Source organism: Homo sapiens, chromosome 8, assembly GCF_000001405.40.
Source record: "Homo sapiens chromosome 8, GRCh38.p14 Primary Assembly".
Taxonomy (NCBI): Eukaryota; Metazoa; Chordata; class Mammalia; order Primates; family Hominidae; genus Homo; species Homo sapiens.
The window spans coordinates 68,327,875-68,345,693 of NC_000008.11; the positions used below are offsets into that span (position 1 = coordinate 68,327,875).

General features: G+C 37.8%; 1 protein-coding gene and 1 long non-coding RNA gene across 14 annotated transcripts in view; one reads left to right on the forward strand and one right to left on the reverse strand.

The window, feature by feature from the left end:
* The window catches only part of C8orf34-AS1 (C8orf34 antisense RNA 1), a 28,024-nt gene extending 24,407 nt beyond the window's left edge, over nucleotides 1-3,617 (reverse strand). The window contains exon 1 of the long non-coding RNA NR_038877.1: nucleotides 3,433-3,617. This is a non-coding gene — a long non-coding RNA (C8orf34 antisense RNA 1). The remainder of the gene's footprint in view (nucleotides 1-3,432) is intronic.
* Nucleotides 2,499-17,819, forward strand: part of C8orf34 (chromosome 8 open reading frame 34) — a 488,651-nt gene continuing 473,330 nt past the window's right edge. For 12 of the 13 annotated variants that reach the window (NR_146186.1, NR_146187.1, XM_047421328.1 and 9 more), the window contains exon 1: nucleotides 2,499-3,465. Coding sequence is in view for 11 of the 13 variants with exons in the window: in XM_047421328.1 (XP_047277284.1) it covers nucleotides 3,139-3,465 (327 nt within the window). In the remaining 2 variants the exon portion in view is untranslated. The remainder of the gene's footprint in view (nucleotides 3,466-17,819) is intronic. The other variant, NM_052958.4, reaches the window with a different exon arrangement.

Genomic DNA, 17,819 nt, shown 5'->3' on the forward strand with positions numbered 1-17,819 from the left:
AACTCAATTTTTGACTAGTTTCCAGGTTACAGGGTAGAGAGCAGAAATAGCTTCAGCTTTAGAGTTAGAAAAACCTGAACTAAAACCTTGCCCTACCAATGATACATTGGGTGACTTGGGTAAATAATTTGTCATCTCTTAGCTTCATGTCAGATATCAGAGTGTCATCTTTGATTTCCTCCTCTAACTTCATCCTTCATTTAGTTAATCAACATTAGTCCTTTACTATGTCTGGAATCCATCCCATCCCCGTTAACCCTATATCTTAAGTCCTAACAATAACCCCATGATTTGTTACAGATTCTGTAGCCTAACAAGTCACTTCTCATTATCCACAAGATGTAAGTCTATTGTTCTTAACAAGGCATTTAGGACTTTCAATGAGCTGAACTCTGCTTACATTTTTAACCTCACATGAAAATAATACTCCTCCACATATACTTTACATATCTTTAACTACCAGCCTGTTGGGTGTCTCTGTGCCTCTGTACATGCTATCTTTTTTAAAAAAGAAATAGAATCTTGCTTTGTTTAGGCTGGAGTGCAGTGGTGCAATTACTGCAACCTCAAACTCCTGGGCTCAACAGATCCTCCTACCTCAGCCTCATGAGTAGCTGAGACTACTATTTTATTGTTAATAGAGACAAAGTCTCGCTATCCTGCCCGGGCTGGTCTCAAATTACTGGGCTCAAGTGATCCTTCTGTCTTGGTCTACCAAAGTGCTGGGGTTACAGGTGTGAGCCACCAAGCCCAGCATCTGATGCCATTATTTATATATATGCCGATTGCCTCAACAAGACGAAGCAACTGAGGACAAAGACAAAGCCTTTCACCTTTGAATTCCCAGTCTTAACATAATGTCTGTCACTGAGAAGCTATGCAATAAATGTTTATTGTAGTAATGAAGCCATGTTTAGGGATAAATAGAAAGAACCAAGAAGTGCTTTATGAAGGAGGTGATATTTAATGTTGGCCTTGAAAAGCTTTGAAAATACTCCCTGAATTTTAAATGTGCAATTTTGGGATGCTCAGAGTTTTAACATACATAAATGGGTATGCATATCCTCATGTTGCTCTTCTTTCTTTGTCTCTTGCTCTCTTTCTTCCTTTCTTTCTTTTGACTGAGTCTTGTTGTATGGCCCAGCCTAGATGCAGTGGCACACTCATAGTTCACTGCAGCCTCAAACTGCAGCTCAAGGGTCCTGCTGTCTCAGTTTTCCCAGTAGCTGGAACTATAAGTGTGCACCACTATGCCCAGCTAATTAAAAAAAACAATTTGTTTTAGAAATGGGGTCTTTTTATGTTGCCCAGTCTTGAACTGCTGGCCTCAAGTGATCCTTCCACATAATTGGGATTACAGACGTGAGCCTTTGTACTTGGCTTCATTCTCTCTTTAAAACATACACATTTTGCCAGCTGAAGCTTTGTCTCTTCTATTCAAAGCCCTAAGTGCAATAGTCTGAGCATGGTGAAGACTTAATAAGTGTCTTTATTTCATTTAAAGAAGCATCCTCCTGATGCCTCTTAAAAGAGAAAGACTCTTGATTTCAGGAAGCGTACCATCTTGGTACCTTATGTGGTATCAAAAATAGTAGGCTTTTTAGCTGGGTCATAGATGGCCTTCCTTATGGCTCTACGCTATACCTTTTAGCAAATAGAAATGTTGGTATTCACTCTGTGTATTTAATTTCTCCTGGACACATTAAAAAATACATAAGTAAATATACCTTCGAACCAAAATGGAAAGCACGAGGCAACCCTGGACACCTCACTGCTATTTAACTTAACCCTCCCTAGGCAGATCATATGAGTCCGATTGTAAAAGTATTAATGTGGACATCTTTCCACTCTGGATCAAGTCCATTTCAGGTTATCAGGGATGGTTAAGCTCCTAGCTATTCTAGCAGATTTCTTATGTCTTAATGCATGAAATTAATAATAGTTCCTGGGATATTCCACACTTATCTATTACATGTTTCCACATATTTAAAATACAGAAGGAAAACATGAACACCAATAAAGAAACTATGAGTAACAGAAATCCAGAACACAGTGAAGAAAGAAAGAAAAAAATATATACTGCTGCAGTCAGCTTTTAGGAAAACTGTTTCCATCATTCTGAAAATTTATATTTATTAGAAATAAATCTAATTTTGGCAGCACATCATGGTTAGGAGCCAGGGAAATTGTCATTGGGACCTTAGTATTGTATTTCACAAGAAAGAGAGCTCTGTGAGGAAGCCTGGGCTATCTGCAAACCTTCGACTCGGAAATCCCTGCATAATAAGAAAGGTATTGGCTAAATTTGAGCAGCTCACGCAGTATCTAGAGGAAACATTATGAAGTGGGATAGTGTGGTGTCTGAGATGCAGTTATAGGTATACAGACATGACTCAAGGCGTGGATTAGGAAGGCCAACTTTGGAGGGGAGGGCTGGCTCGCTCATTTCTCTTCTCCCTGTCAAATGCTGAAAGGCTGGTTCCAGCCTTTGAGCTCCTGCACTTTGAGAGTTTTCAGCTGGGTTCTCAGGCTGCGTTCACCCGTCGACTTGCTCCAGGCCAAACCAGATTTTGAAAAGGAAGGCAACTTCTTTTTCGCGGCAAACCCTTAAACCCACGCACCTTCTCAAAACTCTGCCCTTCTCAACCCCTGCGCTAGAGTAGGCAGGGCAGAAGGTGCTGAGGAGAGGCTCAGAAGGGGCGGTGGGGACGATCCCCTTTCGAACTGCATTTGTAGCTGCCAAGGAGTAGCCAACAAGCACCAGATTTATGTGCACTTTGAAAGAAGCACCTTCACCATTGGCTTTTTAAGCGGCGCTGTCGCTAGGGAGCGGCTGGTAGGGCGAGCAGCCTCGGGGAGCAGCCCGGGCTGTTTGTTCCGTCACCGGGGAAAGGAGGTACACACAGTCGCGCGCGCACGGACACACACACACACGCACGCACGCACACACACCGGTGGCGAGTTCGAGCCCCGCGGCCCCTGTCCGCCCGCGTGCGCCCCTCGACACAGCTCGCCTCCCGCCCCCTGATTCCTGCTGCTGCCGCCCAGAGGAGAAAGGAACCTCTGCCTCGAATTTCCCCACTGCGCCGGGCGCTGCGGAGAGCGGCGAGGGTGGGCGCGAGGCGGAGAACGCGATGAATGAGTTCTCCCCTCGCCTCGGAGTTGTCTGAGTTGGCGGCGCTGCGCCCAGGCTTCCGGCTCTCAGCGCCCCACGCGCGCGTGGCTCCCCGGGCTGCCACCCACGCCCGCGGCCGGGGCCGAGCCAGCCACGCAGGGCAGCCGAGGCTCCGGAGCTCCTGTCCCGGCCCCAGTCCGGGTAAAAGGAGGGTTGTCCCCAGCGGAGGCGCACAGCCGCGCGTTCTCCCTGCACTCTCTTCGCGGTCCCATCTGTTCCCCATGGCGTCTCATCCGCAAACCCGGATCCAGGCTTACCTGGAGAAGAACAAGATCGGTCCCCTGTTTGAGGTAAGGCGCTGTGGAGGAGGGCAGTCCCGTTGTCTTTAGGGGAAGGGGTGCAGTAATGAAAACAGAACACTCCCAATCCCACCCCTCCCAGGGAAGGAGGGCTAGAGAACCAACGCGCGGGAGAGGGCGCCCTGGGATTCACTGGCATTCGCTCTGTCCCGGCCAGGTGTCCTGGAACGCGGCCGGGCGGGCACTTAGCCAGTTACCTGAACGCGGACAGGTGAGCTCGGGAGGGCCCAGCCTCAGCCTGGCAGGGGAAGTTTTGGCCCTCTGACTGTCCTGCACCTCTCAGCTACATGTTCAGGACCCGGGCAGGCTGAGGCAGGCGACGCATACGGATGCACACACTCAGACTGTGTTGCACACGCACACTTTCTTTTTTGAATTCACGCTATCTTGAGTGTTCGTGTTGGATTTTCTTTTTTCTTTTCTTTTCTTTCCTTCTTTTTTTTTTTTTTTTTTTTTTTTTTTTTAATGAGGGCGGTAATAGAACCCGAAAAGGTGGAGGAGGTGCTTAGCAGTTAATACAATTAACTGGAAGACAGCTGAACTGGTGAGGAGTAGGCTTCAGTCGGTGCGGGCGTGATGAATGAAATTGGCAAACTGAGAGACTGCCATTTGGTCACTGGACGAAAGGAGAGTCCTTTGCACTGCAGACCCCACATGTGTTAGCAGGAGAAAGGGACGGAGAAAGGTTCTGAAAAGCACACACGTATTTGTGGAAGAAGACTATAGCTCTGAGCTGGTTTTGTTTTTTTTTCTCTCTCTCGCCATTAAAGAATTTAAGACAAAAATACAGTAGAAGGAAGAGCGCGAGGACACGAGAAAATGAGAACAAGAGATTGAAGCCTGGCACCAGCAAAGCGTCCCGCGGGTTGCCAGGGTGCTGAGCAGGGGTGGGGCGTGCGGACCGTAGTCAGAAGTGGAGGCCCTTGCGGAGGGACTCCCTTGGTCCCATCCAGTTCAGGGGGCACTGACCGGCGGCGAGAGTTCGCGGGAGGGTCGAGGTGCTCCCGCCTTGCCCCCGCCTTGCCCCCGCCTTGCCCCCGCCCCCCACGTCTCCCAGAAGCAGTTGTAGCTGTTCTTAACAGCTTGGTTTGGGGTGAGGGCTTGGTATGGGGAGGAGGTTACGTGTCAGTGTCTGAGAGAGGCAGAATCGCGGCAAGTGGAAGGGGCTGCACTGGAGATCGCGGAAAACCTAGCAAAGACTGAAGAGAAGCAAGTGAGAACTGTGGAGAACAAAAAAATAATGCGAGTTAATGACCCTGCAAAAAAAGGGCGCGGAGGACAAAGGTGTGGTCCAATAGGTCTTTTGGGAGGACGGGTTTCACATAACAAGATTTGCAAGATCTCCTAAGTTTTTTTGCCCAACTTTAACGTTGATCTGTCTTAGACGATAAGACCATTGTTTCAATTGAAGCTCGCATTGTGGGGTGCAGAGTCCTACAATTGCTTTGATTCTTTTTTCTGCCAAAAATGTTAACAAAGGCAATCCATGCAAGAGCGAAATAAAATTGATGGAACTACCAGATTTCTTTTCTTTGCCTTTAGTTTAATGATTATTGATTATACATAATCCTATATAATTTTTTTAAAGGCAGAAGCCTAAAACCTTCTGCAACGCAGTGTATTAATTGCATCGAAAGAATCATAAAATACATACATTTAGAGTGTGTGTTTTCTCTCTACTCTCCTGGAGTATAAAGTACAATTAGCCTGGGAGAATAAATGAATTGTTTTTAATAAATACTGTTTTAATTTGTTATCTTAAAATCCCCAAGATTTTAATAATAATAAAATTAGGAATATATGTAAACTTTCTGCAGAATTAGAAAATAAACTCAAATGGATATTTATGAAGTGCCCCCTAACCCCCACCTTTTGATGCTCACCAGCAAGTTATGCGCTGAAGAATTTTAAGTGATAGCAACGTGTCTCATAAAAGCTTTAGGTCCCCTCACCAAAAAACAAGCACCACCATGCTTCGTATTTTATTGAATACATATGACATACACTGGCATTAGCTTAGATTGCAGTGATGAGTAGTGCATTTTTTAAGGTTTGATGTCCACTTTAAATAATTGAAGGGAGAAAAATGGATAATAAATTCTCTTTTAATAAAAGCTGGATGTAACACAGTTCCTTATGCAACAATTTTGATCATGATAGAGCTTGACTTTGAGAGTACAATTATACGTATTTCACAAAATTGGAAGATTTTACTAGCGTGTAGCCTACTTGTTTCATGTTAGAAAACCAGTGCCACCTGTGAAATGGACATTGTTGACCTAGAGACCGTCCATTCTCTTCTAGGACCTTACTCAATAGTTTTCACAGGAATTGATTTGGGTCAGAGGAGGTGCCCAGCAATCTGAACATATTTAGAAGCAGCACAAATGTTTGCTACAATTTTAATTTCTGGGCCACATTTTGAGAAACTGAGCTAAAATCTCCTTTTACCACTCACAAATTGAAATTGGCCGCTTCATGTCTTGTCATCTATGCTTTGTTGTGTTGAGTCAGTGTAGCTGACACAGGCTTCTTTCAGTTTGGAAAATATGCGGTATCTGATAATATGTCCCCCTTGTGGATAGTTTAAGTTAGGAATGTTTTAAGAAAACTTAATTGGTATGAGATACTTTAAAGATAATCTATGAATGTTTTTTAAAACAATAGCAAAAAGTAACCTATTCACTGATATTGAGAATACTTGATCCTCTTTTTTACCTGTAGGGCTTATTTACCTAGTTTGTTCACTTAGTTTATTTCTTACTTAGTTTATTGCTAATATTTTATGATTTGAGATGCTTATTAAAGTGTTACATGCAGTATGGTGTTTCAAAATTTATTTTAAATTGAAATTAATTTTGTTTCCAGCTGACTCAGGTGAATAAATTTGTACTACTTTTAAATTTCATTGAAGATGTTTTGGAGCATTACAAAACTATGCCTAAAAATCATTGCATTAGAATTCTGGACAATGATATTCTGATTAGATAATATGAAGGTGTAAGATGAAAAATACATTTCACAAACTTTCTAATTTTTGTAAGATGTAATGGTTTACATCTTACAAGATAAATATTTGTAATATATATAAATATTATATATAGTGGAATATATATATTCCATGTATGTTTGTGTACACACACATTTTATATAAAGAAATAGAAACTTTTGAGTTTCTCCCATTATTGATTGGAAGAGTGCTCAGGGCAGTTATATATCTTGGTTCAGGCCTGATCACACTCACAAGAGTGTGAAATCTTAAGTTACTAAGAAGCCAAATAGTGGGGATCTTCATAAAATCACCATGGAATTTTTAAATTTGTGTACTGAAGATGTGGCAAACAAAAGTCACTACATTTCTCTAAGTATGGTATGACCCACTCCAAATAGAATGGAATCACTATCACCTTCTCTGTTCCACTCAAAGTGCTTCTACTCACATGGTGTAAATTTGCATTAACTGATTTGGCATATATGTTATAAAATGGACTTATCAAACTTATGATCAAAGCCTGCATCACTTATATATTTTGCTGTTGCCCAGCTTGCTCTTCTCTGGTACCCCACGGCACTTCTTCCAGCCATGTATGCAACCCTGAACTCCAATTTGCTGCCAACCCTCAGCAAGCCCATTATTTCACTTTATTGACCTCCCTGATCATATCTAAAAAATGCTCCTTGCGTTTATCAGAGAGCTGTAGTGTCTGCGGAGATCTCCTTTCGTTGTTCCCCCTCTCATAAGGATCACAGCCGTGGGCTACCTGTTATTTAATACATGAAAAGAAATATTTTTGTCTAATTTAGGCAGGCTTATGATTGTTTAGGGCAGTTGTTTGGGGATAAGAAGGATACTAGTTACTCACTTATGGCCAGAGGTAAAATACCCCTCCAGAAAGATATTTTAATGTTTAAAAATAATTTGTCGTTAATAAAGGTAAAAGTGTCATTTTAATAAAAATGATTAGGAAAATGCTTTTATTAGAGAAGTAATAAAATATAAGCTTGGTAGTTATAATATGTTCAACTTAAATATTGTAAATATATTTTTTGGAGTAATGATTGTCAGGTGATCTTCCCCAGTGCTCAAAGTTATGAAGACTTTTCCTATATCAAAATTTGCATTAATCTTTATAATCTCAGAGCATTTAGAGGAGGCAGAAGACAAAGCAGTTCCATTTTATAAAATTTTGCCTAGAGTCCAAGTTAAGTGTTGTCATTGACTTACTTCAAAACAGTTTTTTAAAATGTTACTTTAATTAACATGTTTCTATTACCAGCCCATTTATTTTTCATTTCTGCCTTAATGTATTTTATTTTCATGCAGCTTTTAAATAGCTTAATAAAGTGACCCAAAATTCAATTCAATAAATCACTATATAACCTTAGAAATAGTAATATGTACATATACCAATATGGCATCAATAAATTTGAAAAAAGAAATAATATTTTGGGCAGGCATGGTGGTTCATGCCTGTAGTCCCAGCACATTGGGAGGCTGAGGCAGCTGGATCACTTGAGGTCAGGAGTTTGAGACCAAAGACCAGCCTGGCCAACACAGTGAAACCACATCTCTACTAAAAATTCAAAAATTAACCAGGCATGGTGATGCACACCTGTAATCCCAGCTCCTCGGGAGGCTGAGGCAGGAGAATTGCTTGAACCCAGGAAGTGGAGGTTGCAGTGAGCCAAGATTATGCCATTGCACTCCAGCCTGGGCAACAGAGGGAGACCCCATTACAAAAAAAAGAAAAAAAATAGTATTTTAATATTTGTGGGTCTCTCTTAAGAGAATGTGATCAATGGAAATATGAGACTACAAAAATAACATAGGCTTTCCTCCCTTTTTTTTTTCATAATTCAATTAAGAAGCCATGAACCATACAAAGAGAACAGCTAAGACTACAGCTAAGACCCATATGACAAGGAGAGCTAAGTTGGGAGTTCACCTGGAAAGTATCAGAGCACAATTAAAGAAAGGGGCTGAGTGGGCAGTGGCCTGGCAGGGTCAGAAGATTTGTTACGTACAAGGTGGGGGCAGGGTATTCAGAAAATAATTAAATATATTGAAAAAATATATATTCAAGTCAGCCTTCTTACTGATGGACATAGGAGTCACAGAGATAGTATAGGGAAAGCTAGAATGAACCTTGTTGTGTTGGATTGAAATTGGAGGTGTTGGTGTGATCTCATGACTTTCAATAATAGAAACAGGTATAGATGTAATAGAAACAAATATAGATTTGTATGTATTTACATATACTTAAGTGCATATACCTACATTTACTTCCCAACTCTGTCTACTGGAAGGGCCTGGGAATAACAACATCCTGGTAGCAATGAGCACACCTAGCATCCACATTTTGGTTTCTAAATACCATTCTCCATTAAGTAGAACCAGGTGTCCTTGAAGAAATGGTTGATTCCAGGTTTGGGGCTAAGCAAGGTTTGGAGTATCATATGTCAAAAAGTAAGGAAGAGCTCAAAGAATAGTAGGTATGTATCAAAGGACACAGAGGATGTGCCTACCCCTAAGACAACTTGAGGGTCAAAATAAAGAATGATAGTAACAGATTATTTTACTGAATAAAATAGGAATATTTTACTTCACTGGGATCTAATGGAATGTGGAATGTGCTTAATTCATGGGGAGAAGAGAAAACTTTACCTTATAGTAGAATGCCAACTAATAAAAGTAGAAGGATGATGGAATTAGAAAATTACTACTTGGCAACCATCTGAAAGATAATTCAGGCAAGAAACATTAATCAGTACTAAAATTAATGGGTAAAAGTTGGATAAACAATAAGATGTTACATAATCTCTAAGTATCTTCCTACAAAATACTTGTAAATTATAAAGGGAAAAAGTGACTTTACAGTAAAGAAACCTGGCAGACACTACTTCGTTCAAGTGATGGGATAAAGCAATATTGTATGCCCATGATAGGATGCATTTAAAACAACACAGCATTGTTTTGTGATTTTCCTGACAATCATGTATAACCTGAACTGAATAATGAGAAAATATCTTATAAAGCTAATAGAGAAAATCTACAAAGTAACTTTTCTAGAGTTTTCAAAAATGTTAAAGTCATGAGGGTCAAGAGAGGCCTCAGACTGAAGGGACATGGCAACTAAGTGCAAAATATGGTTCTAGATATAATACTTCTGTTATGAAAGAGATTATTGGGAAAGTTGACAAAATTTGAATGTGGTCTCTATGTGAATGGAATAAGGAATTGTTTGTATTGTTCCTATACTTTTTCTATAATTTAAAATTACCTTAAAAGAAAAATTACTAAAAATAATTTTAAAGAGCACCTAGGGAATCAGTATTTGCAAAATAGTTCACCTATTGGGTTTCTTTAAACAGTAAATTATGTGAATGTAGTTCAGAATTTCATCAATGTTTATACGAGGAAATGGCTTATACAATAAATAGCTACAAATCTGAGTAAAGACAATTTGCAATTCTGGTTAACTAAGCATATGCATTTTCCTCTTCTCCCTCTCAAAATCATTTTGAAATATCTGAAAAAAATATTTAAACAATAAATGCACAAGAGTGCTGGAACATAAGAAAGAGTGCTGAGGGAGACACTTTCTCCTTTGTGTACAGAATTTCTTTATTACAAATGGTGGCATCTTCTTTGCACCTATATATAGTCAGTGACACAGAGTCAATGATGTGTTTTCTTAGTTTTTCTGCTGCTATTACACAATGCCTTTATTTCTCACAGATCTGGAGGCTGGGAAGTCCAAGATCATGGTGCTGGCATTTGGTCTGGTGAGGGCCCTCTTACTTTGTCCTCATATGGCAGAAGGCAGAAGGCAAGCTAGCCCAACACTGTATGAAGCCTCTTTTAAAAGGTCTCTAATCCCATTAATGAGGGAGCAGCTTTCTTGGTCTAATCATCACTTAAAGACCTCACTTATAAACCCCTTCAGATTGGCAACATATGAATTCTGAAGGGGCCACATTCAAACCACAGCATATGTAGTGAAAACGTTGTTTGGAATTTCCTGGAAATTACCTTAAAATGCATTGTCTCAGTTGGAACAGGCTCCTCATATGCCCTTCCTACTGTCTAGAAGCCTGTTTGTAACTCCTCTTCTCCTTACTCCTTCTGCATCTTCAGGCAATGACTGATCTCCTTTTTGTCACTATGGATTAGGTTTCATTTTTTAGAGTTTCATGTATATGAAATCACACACTATGCAAATTTTTTGGTATATCCTCTTTAACATCTTTAAGTTAATAATTATTAACCTAATTATTTTAATATTCATCCATGTTGCAGCATGTTACCAATTTTTATTTCCTTTTATTGCTGAGTTGTATTCCGTATGGCTATGTGCTTTCATTTTTCTTATGTAAATACCTGGAGTGGATTGACTGAACCATATGGTAGGTATATGTTAAATTTTTAAATAAACTAGTTATTAAAGTGGATGTACAATTCTACATTTCTGTGAACAGTGTATAGGAGTTCCAGTTGTTCCATATCCTCACCTAATCTTGGTATTGTCAGTCTTTTTAGCCAGAAACCCATTAGCCATTCTAATAGGTTTGTAATGATATCTCATTGTTATATTAATTTATACTTCTCTGATCTCTAATGCAATGAATTTTCTTTTCTTGTGATTATTTGCCTTCCGTATATCTTTGGTGATGTGTCTGTCCAAATATGTTGCCCATTTTTATTTGGGTTGTTTTGGGGGTTTAAGAATTATATGTTCTAGATCCTTTTCATTTTCATATAAATTTTAGGATCATTTTGTTAATTTTCATATAAAAATACCTGCTGGAATTTTGATTCAGATTGTGTTGAATTTATAGGTGCTGTTAGGCAGAATTGACATCTTAACAACTTTTAGTCTACGTAGAAAATTAGAGGGTATCTACAAAAAAGAGACAATAAATAATAAGTAAGTTTATTAAGGTTTTAGATGCAAGGTATCTTTTACAATTACCTGTTTATGTAATAGGTAATCAATTACATATTTATGTTCAAGCAAACAACCATCAGAAGTTAAAATAGTAAAAGTACCATTTATAATGGTATTAAAATATGAAATACTTAGGAATTAAATTTTAAAAAGATATGTAAGACCCCTACACTAAAAAGTATAAAAACTCTTAAAAAAAAGTTAAAGAATATCTAAATAAATGAAGAGTTGTATTCTTATTTATGCATAGGAAAACTCAATACTATTAATATGTTGAATTATATATGCTACCTGACTTCAACAGTCATTAAATCAGTTATAAGTAAAAGAAAAGGCAGTGCAGTATTGGTGTAAATTGAAATGGATTATTACCTAAATGTAAAACCTTTTTTCTTCTCAAAGAGAGTGTAGGAGATAATTTTTGTGAGCTTGGGTTTGGAAAATATTTCTTAAATATGACAGAAATATATAAACTGTAAAAAAATCAATAAAATGGACTTATTTAAAATTAAACATTTGTTCTTCAAAAGGCAATTGTTAAGAAAATGAAAAGGCAAACCAAAGATAGACTATATATCTGAAAAAGGACTCCTGCCTATTATATATAAACAATACTTTTCTTAAAACACTATGATAAGAAGAGAAAAAACAATTCAATAAATAAACAACATAATTGAATAAAAACTTTTCATAAGAAGATGTATAGGTGGCAAAGTAAGGGAATGAATAGCTGCTCAATATCATTAGGGAAATATAGCTAAACCCACTACCCATTTATTAGAATGTCTGAAGTTAAAAAGACTGACTTTAATAAGCATTGGTGAAGATTTGAAGCAATTAGAACTTTTATATACTGACAGTGGGAATGCAAAATGGTCCAACCACTTTGGAAAAAAGTTTGGCAAGTGAGGTTTATTTCTAGTAGCCCCAAATTGAAAATAGGTGGATTGATACGTTATTGGATAAAAAATTTGCATACATACATATAATATAATACTATTCTTAAATAAAAACATGAATTAATGATGCACGCAGTAACACAAATGAATCCTGAATTATGCTGAGTGAACAAAGCCAGAGGAAAATGAGATGAAATAAGCAGAAATTTATTTTCTGAAAGATTAATAAAATTGACCAAGCTTTAGCAAGACTGACAAAGGAAAAAGAGAGAAATCTCAATTCAAAAACAGGAATGAAATGAGAGATCACTATGGACTGCAGACATCAAAAGAATAATAAGGAAATACTAGGGATGACTCTATGCACATAATTGACAACTTAATTGAAATAGACAAAGTCTTTGAAAATACAAATTGGACAATTCATGGAACATGAAGTATATAATTGAATTGAATTTACATTTTGAAAACTCCCCAAGAAAAGATCTTCCAGCCCAAACCAATTCAATGAAGATTATCATCAAATATTTTAAAAATAATCAATACTAATTCTATACACTGTCTTCCAGAAGAGGAGGAAATACTTCCCAGTTTATTTTATGAAGCTAGTTTTACCCTTTTGCCAAAACCAGACAAAAACTGTACAAAAAAGGAAAACTACAGATAAAATTCATTACATTATGAATATAGACACAAAAAACCTTAACAAAATTAACAAACAGAATTCAGAAATAAAAAAACAACAAACAAACTTATGCACTATGACCAAGTCAGGTTTCTTACAGAGGTGCAAGGATAATCCAATTAGAAAATCAATGTAATCAACTGTCTTTGTACCTTCCAGCTGCTATAATGAAAATACCATAAATTAGATGACTTATAAACCATAGAAATTTATTTCTCATAGTTCTGGAGGCTGGAAGTCCAAGATCAAGGTGCCTGGCAGATTTGGTGTCTGGTGAGGGCCCACTTTCTAATTTGTAGATGGTGGCTTCTCTGTGTGTCTTCACATGGAAAGGGCAAAGGAGCTCTCTTGGGACTCTTCTAAGGATGCCAATCCCGTTCATGAGGGTTGTCAAAGTACAGAAGTAGTTCAATGGAGGGAGGATAGCTTTTTCAATTATCAGTGCTCCTGGAGCATTTGGATATCCATTGGCAGAAAACCAAAGCTCGACCTCAGTCTTACACCTTGTACAAAAATTAACTTAAAGTATACCACAGATTTAATGATGTCACATATATGGGAAATCTAAAAAAACTGAACTCATAAAAGCAGAGAATATTAATGGAATACTGGGTACCAGATAATATAGTGTGGATGTCCCCTCCATATCTCATGTTGAGATGTAATCCCTAGTGTTGAAGGTGGGGCCTGGTGGGAAGTGTTTGGGTCCTGGTGGCAGATCCCTCATGGCTTGGTGCTGGCCTCACGATAGGAGTGAGTTCTCATGAGATCTGTTTAAGTGGTGTGGCACCTACTCCTGTGCCCCTCTGCCCATCCTGCTTTTGCCATGAAACATGCCTGCTCCCACGTCACCTTCTGTCATGAGTAAAACTCCCTGAGGCCGTCCCAGAAGCTGAGCCGATGCCAGTGCCATGCTTCTTGTATAGCCTGCAGAACTATAAGCCAATTAAATCTCTTTTCTTTATAAATTATCCAGTTTCAGGTATTTCTTTATAGCAATGCAAGAATGGCCTAACACATCAGGGGTTGAGGGTGGAGTGTGTGAGGAGAAAGATTGGAAGATGTTGGTCAAACAATATGAGGTTTCAGTTAGACAGAAGGAATAAACTCTGGGCTCTATTTTATAGCACAGTGGCTGTAGTTAACAATTATGTATTGTATACTTGAAAATTCCTAATGGAGTAGATTTTAGATTTTTACCACAAACAAAAATGATAAGTATGTGAGGTAACAGATATGTTAATCAGCATGATTTTGTCATTTCATAGTGTATAATATATCAAAATATCACATTGTACATCATAAACATAATATTTGTCAATAAAAGTTATAGATGTAAATTTTAAAAAACAAAACTTAAAAACAAGGAAATTCTAAGGAAAGTTCTTAGAGATCTAGAGTTACACTTAGACTTGACACCATAAGCACAGTCTATAGGAGGACATATTGATAAATTGGACCTCAGCAAAATTAAAAACTTTTGCTCTGTGAAAGACTGTATTAAAAAGATTAGAAGATAAGTTACCGGTTAGGAGAAAATATTTTCAAAGCACACATCTAACAAATGGATAAGATCTATTTATAGAATACAGAGCTCTCAAACTCAGCAGTGTAGTAGCCCCCTCTTATCTGTGGTTTCAGTTACTCATGGTCAACCATGGCCCAAAAATACAAAACAGAAAATTCCAGAAATAAACAATTCATAAGTTTTAAATTGCATATCATTCTGAGTAGCATTGTTAAGTCTAACCCTGTCCCACTCGATTTGGGTGAGGTGTGAATCATTCCTTTGTCCAGCGTCCCCACACTGTCTATTCCACCCACCCACCTGTCAGTCACTTAGTAGCAGTCTCAGTTATCAGATTGACTCTTGTGGTATCTCAGTGCTTGAGTTCAGGTACCCCTTATTTGACTTAATACTGGCCCCCAAATGCAAAAGTAGTGATTCTGGCAATTCAGATATGCCAAAGAGAAGCCTTAATGTGCTTAAGTGAAAAGGCGAAAGTGCTCTCCTTAATAGGGAAAGAAAAAAGTCATAGGCTGAGGTTGCTAAAATATACAGTAATAATGAAGCTTCATGAAATTGTGAAGAGGAAAAGAAGAAATTTGTGTATAAGTAGAGTTTGGTACTGTATATAGTTTCAGGCATCCATTTGGGGTCTTGGAATGAATACCTGCAAGATAAGGGGAGACTACTTGTATAAACAAAACAAAACAAATTAACCAACACTCCCTCTAATAATCTAAATGCAATTAGAAAATGGGTAAAAGACAAGAAGAGACATTTCACATAAGGGTCTATACTGATGGTAAATAAGCACATGAAAAGATGTTCAAAACCATTTGCTATTAGAGAAATACAAATTAAAACCACAATGAGAAATCACTACACACCTATCCGAATGGCTAAAATGAAACTGAGACCACCAAATGATGGTGAGGATGAAGAGAGACTGAATCACTCGTGCTTTGCAGGTGAGAATATAAAATGGTCCAATCACTCTGGAAAACACTTTGACAAATTATTCTATTTTATTTTTACATTTATTTATTTATTTATTTGACAGGGTCTCACTCTGTGTCCCAGGTTGGAGTGCAGTGGCATGATCTTGGTTCACTGCAGCTTCTACCTCCCTGGACTCAAGAGATCCTCCCAACTTAGCCTCCCAAGTAGCTGGGACTGCAGGCAGATGATGCTGTATGCCTAGCTAATTTTTTTTTTTTTTTTTTAAGACAGAGTCTCGCTCTGCCGCCCAGGCTGGAGTGCAGTGGCACAATCTCAGCTCACTGCAACCTCTGCCTCCTGGGTTCAAACGATCCTTCTGCCTCAGCCTCACGAGTAGCTGGCATTACAGGTATGCACCATCATGCCCAGCTAATTTTTGTATTTTTGGTAGAGACAGGGTTTCACCATGTTGGTTAGGCTAGTCTCGAACTCCTGACCTCATGATCCGCCTGCCTTGGCCTCCCAAAGTGCTGGGATTACAGGCGTGAGCCACCATGCCAGGCCAATTTTTGTATTTTTTGTAGAGATAGGGTTTCACCATGTTGCTCAGGCTGGTCTCGAACTCCTGGGCTTAAGCAATCTGCCTGTCTCGGCCTCCCAAAGTTCTGAGATTACAGGTGTGAGCCAATATTGTTTAAAGTAGATATGCAACTACCAAATATCAGTGTTCATACTCCTGAACATTTATCCCAGAGAAATGAAGATTTATGTTAACACAAAAACTGGTACATTATGTTTCTAGAAGTATTATTTACAGTAGTAAAAAAACTAGGAACAACCCAAATATGGCTGAATCATTAAACAAATGTGGGGCATCCATGACATGGAATACTATTCAGCAGTTAAAAAAAATAAGCTATTAATGCATGCAAAAATCTAGGTGAATTTCCAGAGAAATATGCTGAGTGAAAAAAGCCAAATGAAAAGTTTACGTATTATATGATTGTGTGATTACATTTATAAAATAGTGACAAAATTTTTATTTGTGATTTCTGGGTGTCAGGGATGGAGTAGGGAAATGAGGAAAGTGAATGAAACAATGTAACAACATCAGGGATTCTTATTGTGATCAAAATGTTCTATATCCTGATTTTGTCAATATAAATACCCCAGTTATGATATTCTTCTATAGTTTTGCAAAATATTACCAATGGAGGAACATGAATAAAATGTACATGGGATTTCTTTATATTATTTCTAACAGCTGAATATGAGTCTACAATTACTTCAAAATATAAAGTTTAATGAAAAATGTTCCCAGCCCAAAATATAGTTTTTTAACTTTCAAGAAAGTAGACAGGGTTGCATAATAGAAAGAATAGAGCAAATTAGAGAATTAGTTAATTGGAAGGTAAAGTAATTTGAATATACAGATAGATTGGATAAAGATAAAGAAGTGAAAAATCTAAGAGCAAAATATGTGTTAAGCAAACTTTTTGTAATTTTTATTGGGGGGGAGTAACATGGGTAGTGATCTGTGATATTGATAGAAAAATATTAACATACGTGTTGAAAATTTAAGAGTAATCTCTAGAATATAAGTGTGTTGCTTCCAAATAATTAGAAACATAATACCAAAAGTAAGTAATATTTAGTTAAATTAACAAGTCAAGAATAGCACATTAAAGACATCACATGAGAGAGCAAGAGAAATGGAAAACAAAAGGAGATACCAAAAGCAAGTCCAGACAGAGCAGGAATTTTAATAAATATAAATGTATTAAATTATTTTATCAAATCAAAGATTCCTAGATTGGCTTAAAAATCTTTGCGTAATCTGTATAAAAGACACACCAGGAACAAGATGATACAGAATGGTGAACACAAAGGAAAATGGAAAAATATTTACTAATAAAATAACAATGAGACAATTGATATTGCATTGCTAGTATCTGAAACAATAGAATTTAAAGTGAGGTACATTGTATTTGTTACAGAGATTTAAAAATATTTATTATATATAAGTACTCCATGATATACTTTAAAAACTTTTATGCCCATAAAGTAAAGCTTTGAAATATGTATAGAAAAGCCAAAAAGTGCAAGAATTCATAGTAGGCAGACTTAAAATATTTCCCTTAGGAGTACACATTAAATTGGTAAAATAAGGAGGAACTGAATAACCAATTTATAGGCCTGACAGTTAACTATATAAGCTTAAAAATACAAGGAAGAATCAATATTCATAGTAGGAAAATTTAAAATATTCCTTTCAGGAGTACACCTATCAAATTGGTAGAGCAAGTAATTAATACAGAAAGGAATTGAATAACCAATTTAGAAGCTTGATTATACATACATACATA